Source organism: Homo sapiens, chromosome 12 (genome assembly GCF_000001405.40).
Source record: "Homo sapiens chromosome 12, GRCh38.p14 Primary Assembly".
NCBI lineage: Eukaryota > Metazoa > Chordata > Mammalia > Primates > Hominidae > Homo > Homo sapiens.
Window position 1 is genome coordinate 88082452 of NC_000012.12, and position 18003 is coordinate 88100454.

Sequence of the window (18003 nt, forward strand, 5' to 3'; positions counted from 1 at the left end):
GGAGGCCGAAGTGGGCGGATCACTTGAGCTCACGAGTTCAAGACCAGCCTGGGCAACATGGAGAAACCTTGTCTCTACAAAAATACAAAAAAACTACCCAGGTGTGGTGGCACCTGCCTGTAGTGCCAGCTACTCTGCAGGCTGAGGTGGGAAGATGGTTTGAGCCTGGAAGGTCAAGGTTGCAGTGAGCTGAGATTATGTCACTGCACTCCAGCCTAGGAAATAGAGCCAGACCTTGTCTCAAAAATAAAAATAAATAAATAAGATGAAACTGAGGCTCAAAGAAGGTAAAAATGAGATTCTGGAAAAGAATTTGTATTGGCTTTTGAGTCAGACTGACTAGTTTCAAATTATGGCTTTCCCATCTACCCCCAGACATGCTATTAAGCATTCCTGAGGCCATATCCTCTCTTTAAAATGGGGAAAATGATAACATATGTAACCAGCAGTCCTGAGGATAAAAATGAGACAATATACTTAAAAGTCTTAGAACAGTGCCTGGCATAGCAAACACTTATGTTTATCTTCATTATATCACTTATCATTTGCCTATTTTTACAATACATTTCGAAGACTTACTGTAATTTGATATTTTCAAATTCTTTTACTTTTAATTCAGTGATTTCTCTTTGTCTCTCCAAATCTTGTGATACTTTCTTTAGTTTGACCAAGAGTGAGGAAAGAGAGTCATCTTGTTCTGCTACTGTCTGTTCCATCTCAGCCAGACGAATAAAATGCTTGTTGGTAGGAACTGGAGTGGGAGACTGTTTCATTAAATCCTATAAAATATGAATATATTAGCAATAGGCATGTATAATTCAATGCCATACTTATTCCATATTTTTAATTTGGTTCCTCAAATGATCAAAATATAATATCTAATCTAAAATGTAATGATTTAATAGGCAATGAAGGCTTAAAGAAGACAGGAAATGCAGACTTTATTATTTGTATTTACAATAGCTAGCAAAATGTCTGCACGTAGCAGGAGATCAATAAGTGTTGACCGAATTAACGAGGTAATGCTCAAATATGCTAAGGTTACACATTAAAAGATGAAAGACATGTCATTTCATACATATGGAACAGAATGGTCAAAAGAGGCAAATATGAGCTGAATTCTGGAAGTTAGATATAGCTAAACTCACAGTGAGTAGAATTTGAAAAGAAAGGCAGGTAGGTTCATAGCAGATTGAGTACATGGCTAAGAATTATAAATATAATTTTGTGAACAGCGGTGAGCTACAGGAGGAAGAATGATCAGAGCTATGTTTTCAGAAGATTATTTTGGCAACAAAAAGGGTAACTTCCATTCCAAAAAAGAAGAGAGCTGAATTTTAATTTACATGGTCACAAAAATCAATAAAGAATGGAACAAAGTTCTTAGAATCTTACCCAAGCCGTTTGTTTGAATTTATTTAGTGAACTATCAGCCTGTAGTTCTAATCTGTGATGAAGAATATGAAGGTCTTCCTCATGTTTCTTCACAATTTCTCTTTGCTCCTGTTTTACAGAAAATCGAAACTATATCTTAAATTGTGATTAAAACAAATTCACATTTTGAAGACCTTATATATTTTCTCTTCAATCTTCTAAAATTCCTTTGAGATGAGGAAGAAACAGTATCTCCATATATGTATGTATCTAGACTGGTATGCATGTCCCCTCAGACAATGTTCAAGTTGACAAGCCCAGCCTCAGTTCATAATTTATTCTTAACATTAGAATGACATGTATCTATCATCTTTTAACTTACTTCTAGAAAAAATTAAATGTTAGCTTTCCCCCACGAAGTTCTAACAAATCTGATTTCTACTGATTACCGGTGTGATATATTTCATTCCACCCTATTGCCTCAATCCTCACCTATAAACTCAATTAAAATATTTTTCAAAATCATATGATTTCACCATGATAGCTACTCGTGGTTTAGTCAGTGTATAATAGAAAGATACATGTACACAAACTTCCAGTTTTACTGACAGAGGTGTAATCCAATCACATGCAAGTAACAATTCTTAAATAGAATCATTTGAAAGCAAGAAAAGAAATACCACTTTAGGGTAAAATAATATTTAGCATTTGCTTAAAAAAACTAATGGATAACAGCATAACTCATAATATAATAAAATACCTCTCTGGCTTTTTCTAGAAGACGTTGATACTTCTTTAATACTTCTTCTTTTTGATTTAACCTTGCTTGCATGTTTGCAATGGTTTGATGAGCAATTTTCAATGTGTGGTGAGATTTTGGTTCCATCTCTTTTCTGCCTAGCTCAGCTATGAGCTTTTCTCTTTCTGCAGTGGCAGGCAATCGAAGCCTCAGTTCATTGATTACTTTGTCTCTTGACAGTATATTTTGTTCTGCTAACCTTAAAGCAGATTCTTTCTCTTTTAGTTTCTGCAATGATTAAATTATAATAAATCATTAAAGTATCTTTTTCCCTTTAAAATGCTTCATCTGAATTTTAGATTAGTTATTAGCCAAAAAAAATTCACTTTATTTTTCACATCATATGTACAATAGCCATTTGATACTTAATAAGGTTAAACTGACTAATTCTAATTGACAGCAGTTATTTGCATGCTTATTTATAAGACTATTACATATGCTAGAAACTTCATTGTTATGATGAACATAAAATTTAATTAAGGTACTTTATTGAGATATTACAGTTTAGAATTATACATGTATGGTGGTACTAGATTTAGGAAGAATATGTAATAAATTATTTCTTTTATTTTGGTCCATTGACTAGCAGAGCATTAGGAGACTAATCTATAAGTCAGTTAAGTACAAAACTGGAATTTTAGAGGCCCAACTCAATAAATTACGAATATAAAATCCGCAGCTTATTAAAACAAAGAGAAAAAAACAGAAAAATTTTTACTCTTCAAGAGGATTAAGGTGAGTATTTTAAATTAAGTAATTCAATGGCAATTCACATAAATGACAAATCTTAAAATTACTGAAGAAAATCTACGTTTCCTGAAATGATTAAAAATGTACAGTTTTACTTGAAAAACTTCTTTATGTATATTTTAAATGTATTTGCAGTTTATTTAGATGAAAACTAAAATGAAAACACATTCAGTTTACATTATTTTCTGAATAATTTAATGAAGATGACAGATTTGATCACCTACTAATCAAATTCAAGATCTAGGTTAAAACAGAAAGTAATTTCTAATTTACCTTCAACCCTTTAACCATGCATTAAAGGCAATGAACTGAAAATTGATTCATAGATTATGTAACATGCACTTCAAAATAAAACCAAAAAAGTAAGAATAAAGAGATCATATAAGAGAATATATTGCTCATAGAACTACAATTAAATGCTTTTTATTTCCTTTCATATTCAGTGTACCGAAAGGTACCAACTAATAATTAAATAGTGAATTCAAATTAACTATATCTGCTGTTCATTATTGGCTATTAGAAACATTATAGGAGAATAGAAAAATAGTGAAATTAGCAATAGATTCATCATTCTATGCATTGCCCTCATAAAGAAATATTATTTAGAAAGCCCCCCAAACATACCAAATAATACACTAATCAAAATGCAAATTCTTCTAATTACCTCTTCTAGTGATTTGCAAGTTGCCCGTGTTTCTAGAATTATTCGAATGTTCTCCTTAATTTTCCTTAGAGCGATCTCAAGTTGATTTGGAAGGGGCAAACTAGGGTCAGGGATTGATCCTGTAGCTTCTTCAAACTATTAAGAAATAGTATGTTTTTTAAAAAAGCAGTTGCAGCATTGAGAGTAACTATTAATTTTTACAGCTGTATGATAAAACATAGATTAAACCCCTCTTATATTTTAAATATACAATATAACATCAATTAAAATTACATCTGATACAGGAAATATTTCTGTGAGTTAACACTCTAGACTATGCTACAGAGTAACAAACAAGATTAATCATTCATACCTTTTGTGCCGCATTTAGTATTTCATTTTGCTGACGGTCAAAAATGTCTAGTTGGCGTTCCAGGTCAACTTCTCTTTGATCCCAGGCCATTTGTCTTTCTTCATGAAACTAAAAAAAGGACAATTTGTGTCAGACACATACACGAAGACATCAGGCACATAACAGGCATTTTATATATATTTTCTTATCTAATCCTCACAACACATTGAAGAAACTGTAATTATTTTCCTTTTATGGAAAAAAATACAAACTCAGAGAGGTGAAGTAACTTGTGTAAGATCACAAAGGCAGATGTGAAGTAAGGATTTCAGTCTATCCATCCATCCATCCATCCATCCATCCATCCGTTCAGCTATACGAAAGATATTTGATGACATATATTATGTGCCAAGCATCATTCTAGGAAATACAAACATGGCAGTAAACAAAACCAAGTCCGTGTCACCACGGAACTTGCATTCTGGCGAAGGAAAGACAGTCAATAATAAACCAGTAAGTATGTAATACGTCAGAAGGTTACAAGCACTTTGGAGAAAAATTAAGTTAATTAATCTCTATTTAGGAATCTGGATAGTAGGATTTACTGTTGTATATTAGGTGGCTGGTGAAGGATACACTGATAAGGTAAGACATTTGAGCTAAGACCTGCAGGCACTGACAGTGTAAATACCAAAGGTATCTAGGGTAAGAACAATTTAAGCAGGGGGAACAATCTCTGAGACAGTCATATGTTTGACGAATTTCATCTGTCTCTGAAGTATATACTTTATTCTATAAGAAGCTGACTTCTTACTCTATCAGTGAGAGCCAGTAGAAACGTGGAACTGTGAAAAGTCAAATAACCAATATCAAAATAAAAATTAACTTACCAAATGAGGTTGCTTATGTATTGCCGTTTTTAAGATTAAGACTACTGTTATAAAAGCTAAATAAATATGAATTTTTAGAATAGTTTAGAAAATAAAAAACAAATTATTATATAATCAATTAGTAATGGAAGGTGCACTTAATTAGAAGGATAACATAGTCATTTGTGCAATATTCTTGTTTAAAATCTTAGGGGCTCACGCCTGTAATCCCAGCACTTTGGGAGGCCGAGGCGGGCGGATCATGAGGTCAGGAGATCAAGACCATCCTGGCTAATATGGTGAAACCCCGTCTCTACTAAAAATACAAAAAATTAGCCAGGCACGGTGGCGGGTGCCTGTAGTCCCAGCTACTTGGGAGGCTGAGGCAGGAGAATGGCATGAACCCGGGAGGCAGAGCTTGCAGTGAGCCGAGATCACGCCACTGCACTCCAGTCTGGGCGACAGAGTGAGACTCCATCTCAAAAAAAAAAAAAAAAAAAAAAAACTTAGGGAAAAAAATGAAATAAATATAAAATAAAACCTTGTTCTGTTGCACAATTTCTTCTTCAAGACTGCTGATTGTACGTTCATATTCAGAAATTATGTTATTCAAATATTTTATTTCTTCTTTATCCTTGACTAATTCCCGATTTAGTTTAAGTTCTTGAAGACGAAGTTCTTCTATTTTCATATGCCAGTTGATTACCTAAGATTTACAATTTATATACACAAATATAAATGCTATATTAACAAATAACATTCCTCCATTGATGATAATGATTTTAATTGAAAGTAATGGCCATTCTAAAATAAAATAAGACACAATGTTATCTTTTGTCAAACTACATGACAAAATCTTATTTAGGATTTCCATAGACTTTTCTACAAATATGTGGGATTTTACAATAAAAATCTTCAAATTATGTTGGAATGGACATCACTAATATTCACTTTCATTTGTTATACGTTTATTGAACACTGACTATAAGCAGGTCATTGGAACTTTGGTATTACTTTCAAAAACAGAAATCCTAAATGTTTCTAGCCTAGAGAACAGGATGTAGTTGCAAGATAATTATTTTTCATTTAATTCTTTCTAAATGAAGATTAAACCATATTAAAAGTAAATGTGGGCCCACTACTTGTAGATCAAAGATAATTATGAACAGTAGAAATCAACTGATAACTACTACAATGTTTAAATATAATAATTAGTGTTTAATTAATATAAATTTTCCTATAGTAATTAAAATTCTTTGCTATTATACAATCTGAACATTCCCACTAAAATCTTTGGTTAGAAAAGCCTAATTTTATTTTTACGTATAATAGACATTCAAATAGCCAACACTGCTAAGTTATAAAATCTAAATTAATGAATCATAATTGGAATTTGTATCTTAAGCATTTTTCATATAGGCATATATTAAGAAATTATCATGTAACTCTTTTGAAGATAATGAATTTAAAATTGGCTGGGCACAGTGGCTCATGCCTGTAATCTCAGCACTTTTGAGAGACCAAAGCAGGAGGATTACTTGAAGCCAGGAGTTCAAGGCCAGCCTGGGTGACAAAGTGAGACCTTGTCTCTACAAAAAAATTTAAAAATTTTAAAAAATTAGGTAGGTATGGTGGTGTGCACCTGTACTGCCAGCTACAACTACTCAGGAGGCTGAGGCTAGAGAGTCCCTTGAGCCCAGGAGTTCCAGCTATGTTTGCACCACTGAACTCCAGCCTGGGAAACAGATCAAGATACTGTCTCTTAAAAAAAAAAATCAAGTTTAAATGTTTACCTTTTGGGCTCCTTTGGTATCCTTTAAAGTGCTTATTAACTCTTCCAGGCCCTTTAATTTTAATTCCATCTCCAATGTTTTGTTCTCCATATTTCTATGTTCTTGTTGAGAATTTTTCATTTCTTGCATTATCTTAAGTTTGTCATTTTGTAGTTGAATCATTGTTTTGGAGAACTTTTCCTGTTGTGCCAAGGGTAAAGCTCCACTAAACTGTCGTCGTAGAGACTGAATTGTTTGGCGCAGATGTTTTGCTCTGTTTCTTCCCTCCAAACGAGCATAATAGAGAGCCTGTTCTTTTTCATCAAGTTTCTGCTCTAAGCGCAAGTTGTAGGCCTCCATCTTCTGCAGTTTAGATGTAATTGACTCCAACTTACCAAGAGCAGTAGCCTCACTCAGTTGAAGAGAGACATTATGTTGGTGCAACTTGGCAATGAGCGACTTTTCATCAGACTGTGCCTGATATTAAAAAAAATATATATTTGTAGTAAGTTTCAAATTTTTCCAGTGAAAGTTATCACAGATTTAAAATTCACAATTTACTAAGCAAAGTTTTAACACAGTGGCACATGAGATCTACAAAAATGTAACTTTGCTTTAATACAAATAATTACCAAAGAACTGTAAAAGAAAAAACCTAGAATCAAACAAACTTAAAATCCAAATGTAACTGAATAACAGTGGGTATGTTACTGGTGTTTTTTTTTTTTTTTTTTGAGACAGAGTTTCACTCTGTCACCCAAGCTGGAGTGCAATGGCGTGATTTTGGCTCACTGCAACCTCCACCTCCCGGGTTCAAGCAATTCTCCTGCCTCAGCCTCCTGGGTAGCTGGGATTACAGGCACATGCCACCACGCCTGGCTAACTTTTGTATTTTTAGTAGGGACGGGGTTTCACCATATTGGTCAGGCTGGTCTCGAACTCCTGACCTCGTGATCCGCCTGCCTCGGCCTCCCAGAGTGCTGGGATTACAGGCGTGAGCCACCATGCCTGACTGTTACAGTTTTTTTTTAACCTCCATTGCAAGTAACATAATACTGATCAGGACAATGTGTATGTTTTTATAATTCCCAACATATATAACGTAAGAATATGTAAAAAGTTACATATAAATACAAGAGAAAATATTGTTATTAAAGATTTACTAACTACAATTCTCAGTGTCCTAATTTTGATCAGCAGCATAATTCATCTATAGGCATTTAAATGCTGTACTGGATTACTGAACAATATTTCAAATTAAAGAGCTTTCTAATCAGGTTCCAACTAACAAGAATAACAGCCTCTGGTTGGTATATCTTTTGATTAAAAATGTAACAATGGCCCAGCATGGTGGCTCATACCTGTAATCCCAGCATTCTGGGAAGTCAAGGTGGGCAGATCATTTTAACCCAGGAGTTTGGGACCAGCCTAGGCAACATGGTGAAACCCTGTCTCTACAAAAAATGCAAAAAAATTAGGTGTGGTGGCACGTGCCTGTAGTCCCAGCTGTCTAAGAGGCTGAGGTGGGAGGATCACCTGAACCCAGGTGGTGAAGGCTGCAATGAGCCTTGAATGTACCACTGCACTCCACCCTGGGCAACAGAATGAGACCCTATCTCGAAACAAACAAAAAGTATAACATATCCCACTCCCAACATCTAATGTAAATTTAGGGAAAAAAGTGGATTCTATGTAGAAGAGCCAATACTGCACATACCTGATAGTCTAGCAGTTGCATTCTGAGGGACTCTACTTCCTTGTCCCTAGATTGTTGTTGTGCATTCAAAATTTCAACTTGTCTTCTGGCAATATCAGAAATCTCTCTCAGTCTAGGAAATGATAAGGTATTTCAGGAACAATTAAGTACACTTTCTAAGTAAATGCCAAAATTCAAAATTTCTAGACCCTTTTTCAAAAAGCCATTCGTTTTCAGCATCTATCTCTTCTTTGTATGAAATATTAAAACAGGATTTCCTAAACTGTTTCATGAAACATAATTCCATCAGAGGTTATCATGTTTGCTATATAAAAAAAACTTCATTCTCAACATCCCTCCTCCCTCTTGAATATTCCTAACATATATTCAGTGCTCCCAGAGGTTCTATCATATATAATTATCTCAAATCATACTTACTATATAGTATTTTCCAAATGTATATAGCCAAAGAACTTCTGTTCCCATACTTTTTTCCATAAAACATTTATTGTCATAATTTGGAATATGCTAGGATAAGGTATTTAGTACATTTATCTAAGACCATCACACAGTTAAGAACACAGAAATGTAAAATTTCTAGGATCCTTAGATGGATTAATGCATGTTTTGATTTGTTTTAATCTACAAGTTATCAGTAATGTGAAAAGAAACAAAACATGCATTTAATAAAATTACAAAAAAAAAAAAAAAGAGATAGCCTAATGGTAATAAGTCCTTCAAATTCCCTCATGAATACTGTGATAAGCTAATACAGGCAAAGCAAAATGTAAAGTTTCTTTGCTTTGGGTTAGAATAATTTTAGTTCAGTATTATAGATAAGGCAGGTTTCCTCATACTGATGAGAGGCTCTCATTGCCAGTTGCATGATTAACAAAATATGATTAAAATGAACTATTATAAGTTAGTTTATATCAAAAGAGGTCCATGAGAAGAAAGGATCAATTTTTTTAAAAAAAAGGGTCTTTCATAGTGAAAAAGATGTCAAAAACTGATATTCCCAAGAGAACTATCAAGGCTCCAAAGGAATGGTTATATTTTTATGAGTAGGCCATAAAATATTTTTACTATTTATGCTTGACAGATTAACTAAGTGCTCCTTATACTTTTCTACTGAAATATCACCTAATTACAAAAGAGAATGAAAATACAGCATATAGCTGGCACACGGTTTTTTTGTTTTGTTTTTCTTTGTTTGTTTGTTTGTTTGACAGAGTCTCGCTCTGTCACCAGGCAGGAGTGCAGTGGCGCGATCTCGGCTCACTGCAACCTCCACCTCCCGGGATCAAGCGATTCTCCTGCCTCTGCCTCCCGAGTAGCTGGGGCTACAGGCACATGTCACCACGCCCAGCCAGCACGCAGTATTTACTCCTTATATATATTTTGTGTTCTAAACTAGCTGGGCATATTTCTTCATGTAAAATGAAAACAAAAATATAACCTCAAGGTTAAGTATAATTGTACAAGTCAATATATGTTTAATACCTTGCACCGTGACTAGTACATAGTAGATGCCCGATAAATGTAAACTAAATCAAAATCTGAATTTTTTATTATATTCTTACAGCAACCTTATGAAACAGGTAGAAGAGGTACTATTACTCCCTTATTAAAATGAAGAAACTTAAGTTTAAATACAATAAACAACCATTCCTCCTCCATCACCCCTTCCCCAAAAAATCAATATGTGGAGGAACTGGACCTTTCTGCAATAATATTCCTGAACTCTAAAAAATGCAAATCTTGAGAGGTCACTTCCTCTTTAACAATATTATTCTCGTCAATATTATTATTTAACCCTGTTAAAACCGATCTTAATATTACTTAATCCTGTTCTTATAAAAAGAAATCAGTATCAATTACTACTAAGAATTGTATACCTGTAATTGGGTTTCTTAAAGACAAATTAAAGAAGATACATCTAGTCAAATGGCTAAAATGCTTATATGCACTTACTTTGACACTTCAACTTTTAGTTCCATTTCATTCTTCTCTAATTCTAGAATCCGTTGCCTATCAGCATCACTTACTGCCTTGCTCACACTATCAGCTAATTCATCTCTTAACATCTGTTCCACCTTCTGTGCATCCAAATTGATTTTGGTAAGCTAAGGAAATGTAACAAAAAATGTTCAGATACATCAATTTTTGGTGAGGTTTTCTTTGTAATTTAGCTTTTAAAGTACTGCAATCCTCTTTACTTGGCCTTAGTTCACATATTATATTAAGTGTGAAGTGTTAAGAACAGACTGAAGGAGGGTAAAAAATATGAAAGAATCAGAAACAAACTATGGAAACTCTGGTTATATTCCAATCCACCAAAAGTCATTTTTATTAGGCAACTCATTATCTAATAATATCTGAACTTGCAATATTCTTACTTTGCTTAGAATGCAATCTGCTCATTATATTTTACTTCAATTGTATCATCTATAAATAAATCCAAATGAGTTAATAAAATCTTACTCATATAGATTTAGTGACATAGTTAAAACAAAAATGATATAAATGCTTTGAAAATATATTAAATCTCAAGGTAAGCAAACACTGTAAGAGTTGTGTTTAATCATAAATTGTTAAATACTTGCAAACTATATTTACTGCCACACAGTTTAATGATTCTGACCACATCAAAAATATATAAAACCACCAATTAGAATGTAAAGTCCCTGAAAGTAGAGATTATTGTCTATTTTGTTTCTTGCTATACTGCCAGTCCCAACACAGGGTCTGACATGTAATAGGCAATGAATAAATATTTGTTAAATGAAGGGATGGTGGTGAAAGGCAATTCCATTGTTTAGTAAATAACATTTCATAAATTAAATCTAATAATATAACATTGGTGAGAAAAACTTACAGAAATATCTGCTTTCCTTTTAAACAATTCAGATTTAAATCTTTTATTTATTTATTACACAAAACATAGGCACTATATTAATAAGATATTTCAGAGATCCAGACAAACCACTTAACAATAATACAATGTCTACCAAAACTAATTCTTTATTCTATAATTGTATGATAAAACTTATAATATCAAACCTCAGCAAATTTGGTTTCCAATTCAAAATTACGTTCCTCCATTTGCTTTAACGAAGTCCGTAAGTGTTCATACATTTTTTGACAATGTTCAGCCCGCTGCCTTTCATTTAATTCCTTCATTTCCAGCATAGTTATTTTTTTTGAAATGGAAACAATGTCACTGTTGGTTATTGATTTCTTTGCCTTATCCATGCTAGATTCATTACCTACATGCAATAATATTTAAGTCAATCTCATGCTGTTTATATTAAAATTACCTCAGATATTTTAGATGCTGTATATTAGAAAGCATTATAGTTCCATGGAAAGCACATTAGCTTTCTGAATTCCATCAGACCTGGACTCTAATCTTAGCTCTGTTACTTCCTGCCTGTGTGATGCCTGTACCATTTAATCTCTGTGGAACTTAATGTTCTTCATCAATCAAATGATTAAAAAAAAAAACCTATTCCTCACAGAATTGTGGAACTAACAACATAAAGGACTTAGTGTAGAAGTGTCACATATAAGAAATTTTAAAAATGGCAAGTAAACATTTTACTGAAAGGAGATAAACTGTATGAGAAGCAATGCAGTAAAGCAATGTGACTTTGTGAATATAAGTGCAATGACTTGATTTTTAAAGTCTCACAAAGCCAAGCTGAAAAGTAAAATCTGAAGCCATATGATGGATAGATTCTACCAAATATAATCTTGTCTAATCATGAGTATTATTTGGTCTTTGTACAGACCTAATATCAAATATTTTACATTCTTTTATTAGTAGTTATGCCTTAACCTTATATATGCAGTTACGCAGCTTGTCTTTGGACACAAAAGTCTGTGGCTAAATGGAAAGAGAACTAAAAGCCTCAATTTACCATAAAAAGGCATCGCATAGGAGTGTCATTAGTCATTTTTTGAGGGGGGGGGAAGAAAACATACTTTTGCTTTGTAAACATGGTCTAGAAAAAAAACAAAATTTGGTAGAGTGTTTTGCTTTTCAGCAACTTAAAACTGATGTGTTTAGGGTAGCCAATTACTTAAAGGAACTAAGCAGCAACTCACTTTGTAAACAGCCTTTTACAATACCAATAATGCCCCCTCCTGTTTTTCCAGCTTCATAAGTTCAAGTTTTATAACTGAGTTTTCTCAAAGTAATATACATTTCCTGAAAAAAAAATTGGTCTCTATCTCAGTTTTAAAAAGTACTTCATTATGTTCTGTATTTATCTTTAAAATGTATTATTTTAGAATAGCTGTGGCAAGCAGTAATCAAGTAACTAACAATAATGGATCACTAACAGGTGCTAAAAGCATTAGTAAATCAGTTCATTATGGAATAAAGACTCATTCAAGTAACCTTAGGCACCATGTAGAAAAATACTGCAATAAATACCAATATATAAAGGAGTCCTTCTCCATTCTGTATTGTGCTAAACTCTGATTAGAAGAGAAAAGCACATCACAAAGGCTGAAGCAGACTAGCCATCTTGTATGTTTTTGGGTTTGGAGTTTTCTTAAAGAGAGGGTAGAGCACAACAGCCCAACACTAACAAATTCCTAGATGAAAAAAAGCTAATGATGTGACATTTTTAAACAAAGATATAAGGGCAACAGGGAATAGGGAAACACTCTTAAAACTTCGGTGATATAAATCCATATATGAAAGAGATCAAGATATGTAAAAATTAAAGAATTTCTGTAGGGAATTCAGCATTTATTAAAAATAAAGATGATAAAATAAAAAGAACCTACTAAAATTGTACGTAATACTCTCATGTCTTCATTTAAATGGTACCTTCTTCCATGCAAATACTACACAAAAGTCAATTCATATTTAATCTCTTATTGAGCTAAAAATTACATTTCTAAAAGTAGCTTATGTAAGATTTCCCAGTGTTAGGCTTCTCTAAACCAAGTATCTCATTACCAATTTAAGAGAACAGCTCTATTTAGTAATAAAAACCTTGAATAGCTCTAACGTCTAGGAAACAAATACATGAAAATACATTATCGAAAGCAGCAAATTTATTTGAAAATTATGAAGCACAATATATGAGATAAAATTATGAAAATCTTATAAACTATATAACTGTTTGAAAAATTAATATGGAAAACTCTAATGAGAGCAACAAAGATTTCAATACCTTCTGAGACAGTAATATCTCTGTTAGATATACATGAAAATGTTCACTGTGGCACTATAAGCAATAGCAAAAATATAAAAAGCTAGTGATTTAATCACTCAAACACATTAGGCTATTGTATAAGTATTTATAAGTATGATGAATAAAACAAATTTTTTTTTTTTTTTGAGACGGAGTCTCACTCTTATCGCCTAGGCTGGAGTGCTGTGGTATGATCTTGGCTCACTGCAACCTCTGACTCCTAGGTTCAAGCAATTCTCCTGCCTCAGCCTCCTGAGTAGATGGAATTACAGGCAACTGCCACCACGCCTGGCTAATTTTTGTACTTTTAGTAGAGATGGGGTTTTGCCATGTTGGCCAGGCTGGTCTCGAACTCCTGACCCCAGGGGATCTGCTCTCCTCAGCCTCCCAAGTGCTGGAATTACAGGTGTGAGCCACTGCGCCGGCCATAAAAATATTTTTGATATTACTATCTAAATACAGTATAAAACCATGTTTATAATAATTTAAAATATATAAAATATGTAAGCATATAGGAGCAAAAATATACAGTAATATAGTAGTAAAACTATGAGAAATACAACTTCTTTTCACATTTTCTTTGCTGTTTCCTGGTATCTTTTAATTTAAAAATATCAAGTGATATATAACTAATATAACTTGCACTCAGTGAAAGAACTCATAATACCATTAATAAAATATCATCAGTTTTAATTGTTAAACGGTTCAAAGTAGCTAATACTTAGTCATAAATTTTTAACATATATGATTTCATTAGAAACAAATCTAACTTAAGGACTGAAAACTAAACTTTGGTGGGGTTAAGTACAGGATTATTCATCTGCCTAAGTTAAATTATTAGGCAGAAAGTTCTTTCTTTTTTTAGTCAAAATACTTCCTTTTAATCTAGCATAAAAAAGGAACTTTAAATAAGAAATATTCATTATTAGATGTTAATCATTTTATATTATCAGAGTCATAAAACTTACCTAATTTAGTTTCCTGTTCCCAGGCTTGTTCAATAGTGTGAAGTTTTTCCTTGGTAATCTCCAGTTCTTTATTTATAGACTCCACTTGTTCTTTTAAGGAGATGTTTTCACACTGAATAAAGGAAAAATATCACTAAGAAACTACATTGTAATTCAGACCAATACCACAAAATGACATTGTCTTAACTTTATATAACATCTCCTTAAAACTCACAATCCAGTTTTTTACAAAATTAGAATTTCCTCCATATATAATACATGTATGCATACAAACACATACATATATATATAATACTTGTATACATATACATACTGATATGGTTTGGCTGTGTCCCTACCCAAATCTCATCTTGAATCATAGTTCCCATAATCCTCATATGTCATGGGAGGGATTTGGTGGGAGGTAATTGAATCGTGGGGGTGGTTTCCCCCACGCTATTCTCATAATAGTAAGTTCTCACGATGTCTGATGGTTTTATAAGGGGCTTTCCCCTTTGCTCGGCTCACATTCTTCTAATTCCGGCCACCATGTGAAGAAAAATGTGTTTGCTTCCCCTTCTGCCATAACTGTTAAGTTTTCTGAGGCCTCCCCAGCTCTGTGGAACTGTGAGTCAATTAAACCTCTTTCCTTTATAAATTACCCAGTCTCAGGTATTTCTTCATAGCAGCATGAGAACGGACTAATACACATACATACATATATATATACACACACACACACATACACACACACACACACACACACACACACATATATACAATGTAAAATATTATTTTAAAATAATCATCCAAATCCTGTGTTATCCAATATACGGCCTCAATTTCTGAGTATTAGCTTCTGCCACTAAAGCTGTACATTCATTTTGGCCAAAACTCTTAGAATACTCAAGAGTTTTGCAGCCTTCACAAACTAGTGCTTACTTCCTTCATGCACACAGTTGCTGAGCATCCTAGTGTGCCATCAGTGACAGATGATGATGTTTACAGTGAAAAGAAATATAAAATTCTGGCCTTCAGAGTTCTGCCCATTCAGTGCCTATGTGTGTGTGGGTGGGTGGCAGGATTTCGCCAGAGTGTGGAAGGCAGCAGATAATAAGCAAGTAAACAAACAAAAAGTCTACTAAAAATGTCAATGTTGGCCGATTACGGTGGCTCACACCTGTAATCCCAGCACTTTGGGAGGCTGAGGTGGGTGGATCACTTGAGGTCAGGAGTTCGAGACAAGCCTGGCCAACACAGTACTAAACATAGTGCTAAAAATACAAAAATTAGCCAGTCATGATGGCACTTGCCTGTAATCCCAGCTACTCAGGAGACTGAGGCAGAAGAATCCCTTTAACCTGGGAGGTGGAGGTTGCAGTGAGCTGAGATCACACCACTGCGCTCTAGCCTGGGCAACAGAGCAAAACTCCATCTCAAAAAAAAAAAAAAGTCAGTATCGACCAGGTGCAGTGGCTCACACCTGTAACCCCAGCACTTTGGGAGGCTGAGGTGGGAGAATCACTTGAGTCCAGGAGTTTGAGACCAGCCTGGGCAACAAAGTGAGACCTCATCTCTACAAAAAAACACAAAAAATTAGCTGAGCATGGTGATGCATACCTGTAATCCCAGCTATTTTGGAGGCTGAGGTGGGAGAATTACTTGATCCCAGGAGGGCAAGGCTGCAATGAGCTATGATTGTGCAACTGCACTCGAGCCTGGGCAACAGTGAGACCCTGACTCAAAAAAAAAAAAGTTGACATTTAGAAAGAAAATAAAAACAGAGTACTGAGCCAGTGAATAATAGAAAGGAACATTTAGATAGAGCGGTTGAAGGATGTCTTAACCACCAAATAATTGATATTTAAGCTGAACTGTGAGGTACGAAGTATTTATTAGTAAACCCAGATGCTCCAAAGGAAGAAAGCATTTGGAATACTATAAGATCTGAGAGGAAAAAATGATTGAAATGATTGGAGCAGGAAATGATTTGGAGGACTGGAGCACCCAAGCAGAGTAAGCAAAAATAAGAGTCAATAGTAGTAAAACATGAAGTTGGAGAGACCATCAGGGGCCACACCAGGCAGGGCATGGCATGCCAAGACAAGGAACTGGAATTTAACTTAACGTATAAAAGAAAACAATTTAAAGATTTTAAGGAGGAAGTTTTAAACAATCATTCTGGCTGCACTGTGGAGAATAAAGGGGTCAATAGAGAAATCAGGGAAACTAGCCAGAAAGACATTGTGGAACTCCAGATGAGTGATGATGCTGGTTTGGACAAGGGTTAGAGCTGCGAGGATGAAGAAGACACACATAAATTACATTTGGAAAACAAAAATGGTAGGGAAAAAGAATGACTACAGAATAACTCTAAAGTATCTGCCTTGACTAGCTGGTTAGGTAACTGAACATATATTGAAATAAGAATGACTAGGAGAGAAACAGAAATCAGGAGTTCATTGTGGACACGTTAAATTTGAGATCCCCTTGAAACACAGGAATTGTAAAGTAGGTAATTCTGTACAACAGAATAGAGCTGTGAGGAAAAAGGCTGGCGATATAACATAAATATATATCTTAAGTTCCTTTATTTTTTATTTGAAAAAACAGAATGCCTATTTACTACATGCCAGGTACTCTAAGCAATGGATTTCAGTGATAAATAAATTATATCCTAGAACTTATATTTGAGTGGAGTACCTGGAAAATAAGCCAATATATAATACAATGTCAGGTATTAAGTGTTATGAAGAATAATACAAACAGGGTAATGAGACTAAAAAGAGGACATGCTATGATTAAATAAGCACGATAAGGTAATAATAATATATTTTTTAAGTAAAGTACATAATTATAGTTTTATATACTATGAATACACAGGAGGGAAAACAGGAGGCTGAGGGTGTTTTAAATATCTTTCTATCCATTTTTTTCTTCCTTTCATCCTTTTTCACAGGATAATCCTATTGTTTGTTACAAATCTCTTTTTCTCCCACCTACCCTGATATTTTGCTATTTCCCTTATTACCACTTTCATCTCTTATCTTCATCACTCTCTCCCTAGTAACTCTAAATTTTCTTTCCCTCCTCCTGAAACTTCACTGGTCTCCTTTAAAAAAAAAAAAACAGGCTGGGCACAGTGGCTCATGCCTGTAATCCCAGCACTTTGGGAAGTTGAGGCTGGCGGATTACCTGAGATCCAAAGTTTGAGACCAGCCCGGCCAACATGGCAAAACCCTGTCTCTACTAAATTAGCCGGCCGTGCTGGTGGGCACCTGTAATTCCAGCTACTCGGGAGACTGAAGCAGAAGAATCGCTTGAACCTGGGAGGCAGAGGTTGCAGTAAGCCAAGATCACTCCACTGCACTCCAGCCTGGGCAACACAGTGAGACTCTGTTTCAAAAAAAAAAACAACAAAAAAAGAATCCTCTTCTTGATTCTACCTCAATCTACATCTATTTCTTTTTTCTTCTACTATCAAATTTCAAGTTTTTCTTTTGCTTTATTACCCATCCAGTTTTTGTATTTCCTTATTATCTATTCCATTCTTCACACATGAAATCTGATTTTCGTGACCTCTAGTCT

The 18003-nt window shown here is 34.2% G+C and overlaps 1 protein-coding gene across 22 annotated transcripts in view; it reads right to left on the reverse strand.

Moving 5' to 3' along the window:
* Positions 1-18003, reverse strand: part of CEP290 (centrosomal protein 290) — a 93073-nt gene that overhangs the window by 33436 nt on the left and 41634 nt on the right. For all 22 annotated transcript variants that reach the window (XM_017019983.3, XM_047429563.1, NM_025114.4 and 19 more), the window contains 11 exons: positions 14437-14548; positions 11319-11524; positions 10230-10381; positions 8277-8388; positions 6581-7036; positions 5329-5493; positions 3940-4047; positions 3588-3722; positions 2135-2401; positions 1396-1503; positions 580-779 (listed from right to left, as the gene is read on the reverse strand). In XM_017019983.3, the coding sequence (XP_016875472.1) occupies positions 580-779; positions 1396-1503; positions 2135-2401; positions 3588-3722; positions 3940-4047; positions 5329-5493; positions 6581-7036; positions 8277-8388; positions 10230-10381; positions 11319-11524; positions 14437-14548 (2021 nt within the window). The remainder of the gene's footprint in view (positions 1-579; positions 780-1395; positions 1504-2134; positions 2402-3587; positions 3723-3939; positions 4048-5328; positions 5494-6580; positions 7037-8276; positions 8389-10229; positions 10382-11318; positions 11525-14436; positions 14549-18003) is intronic.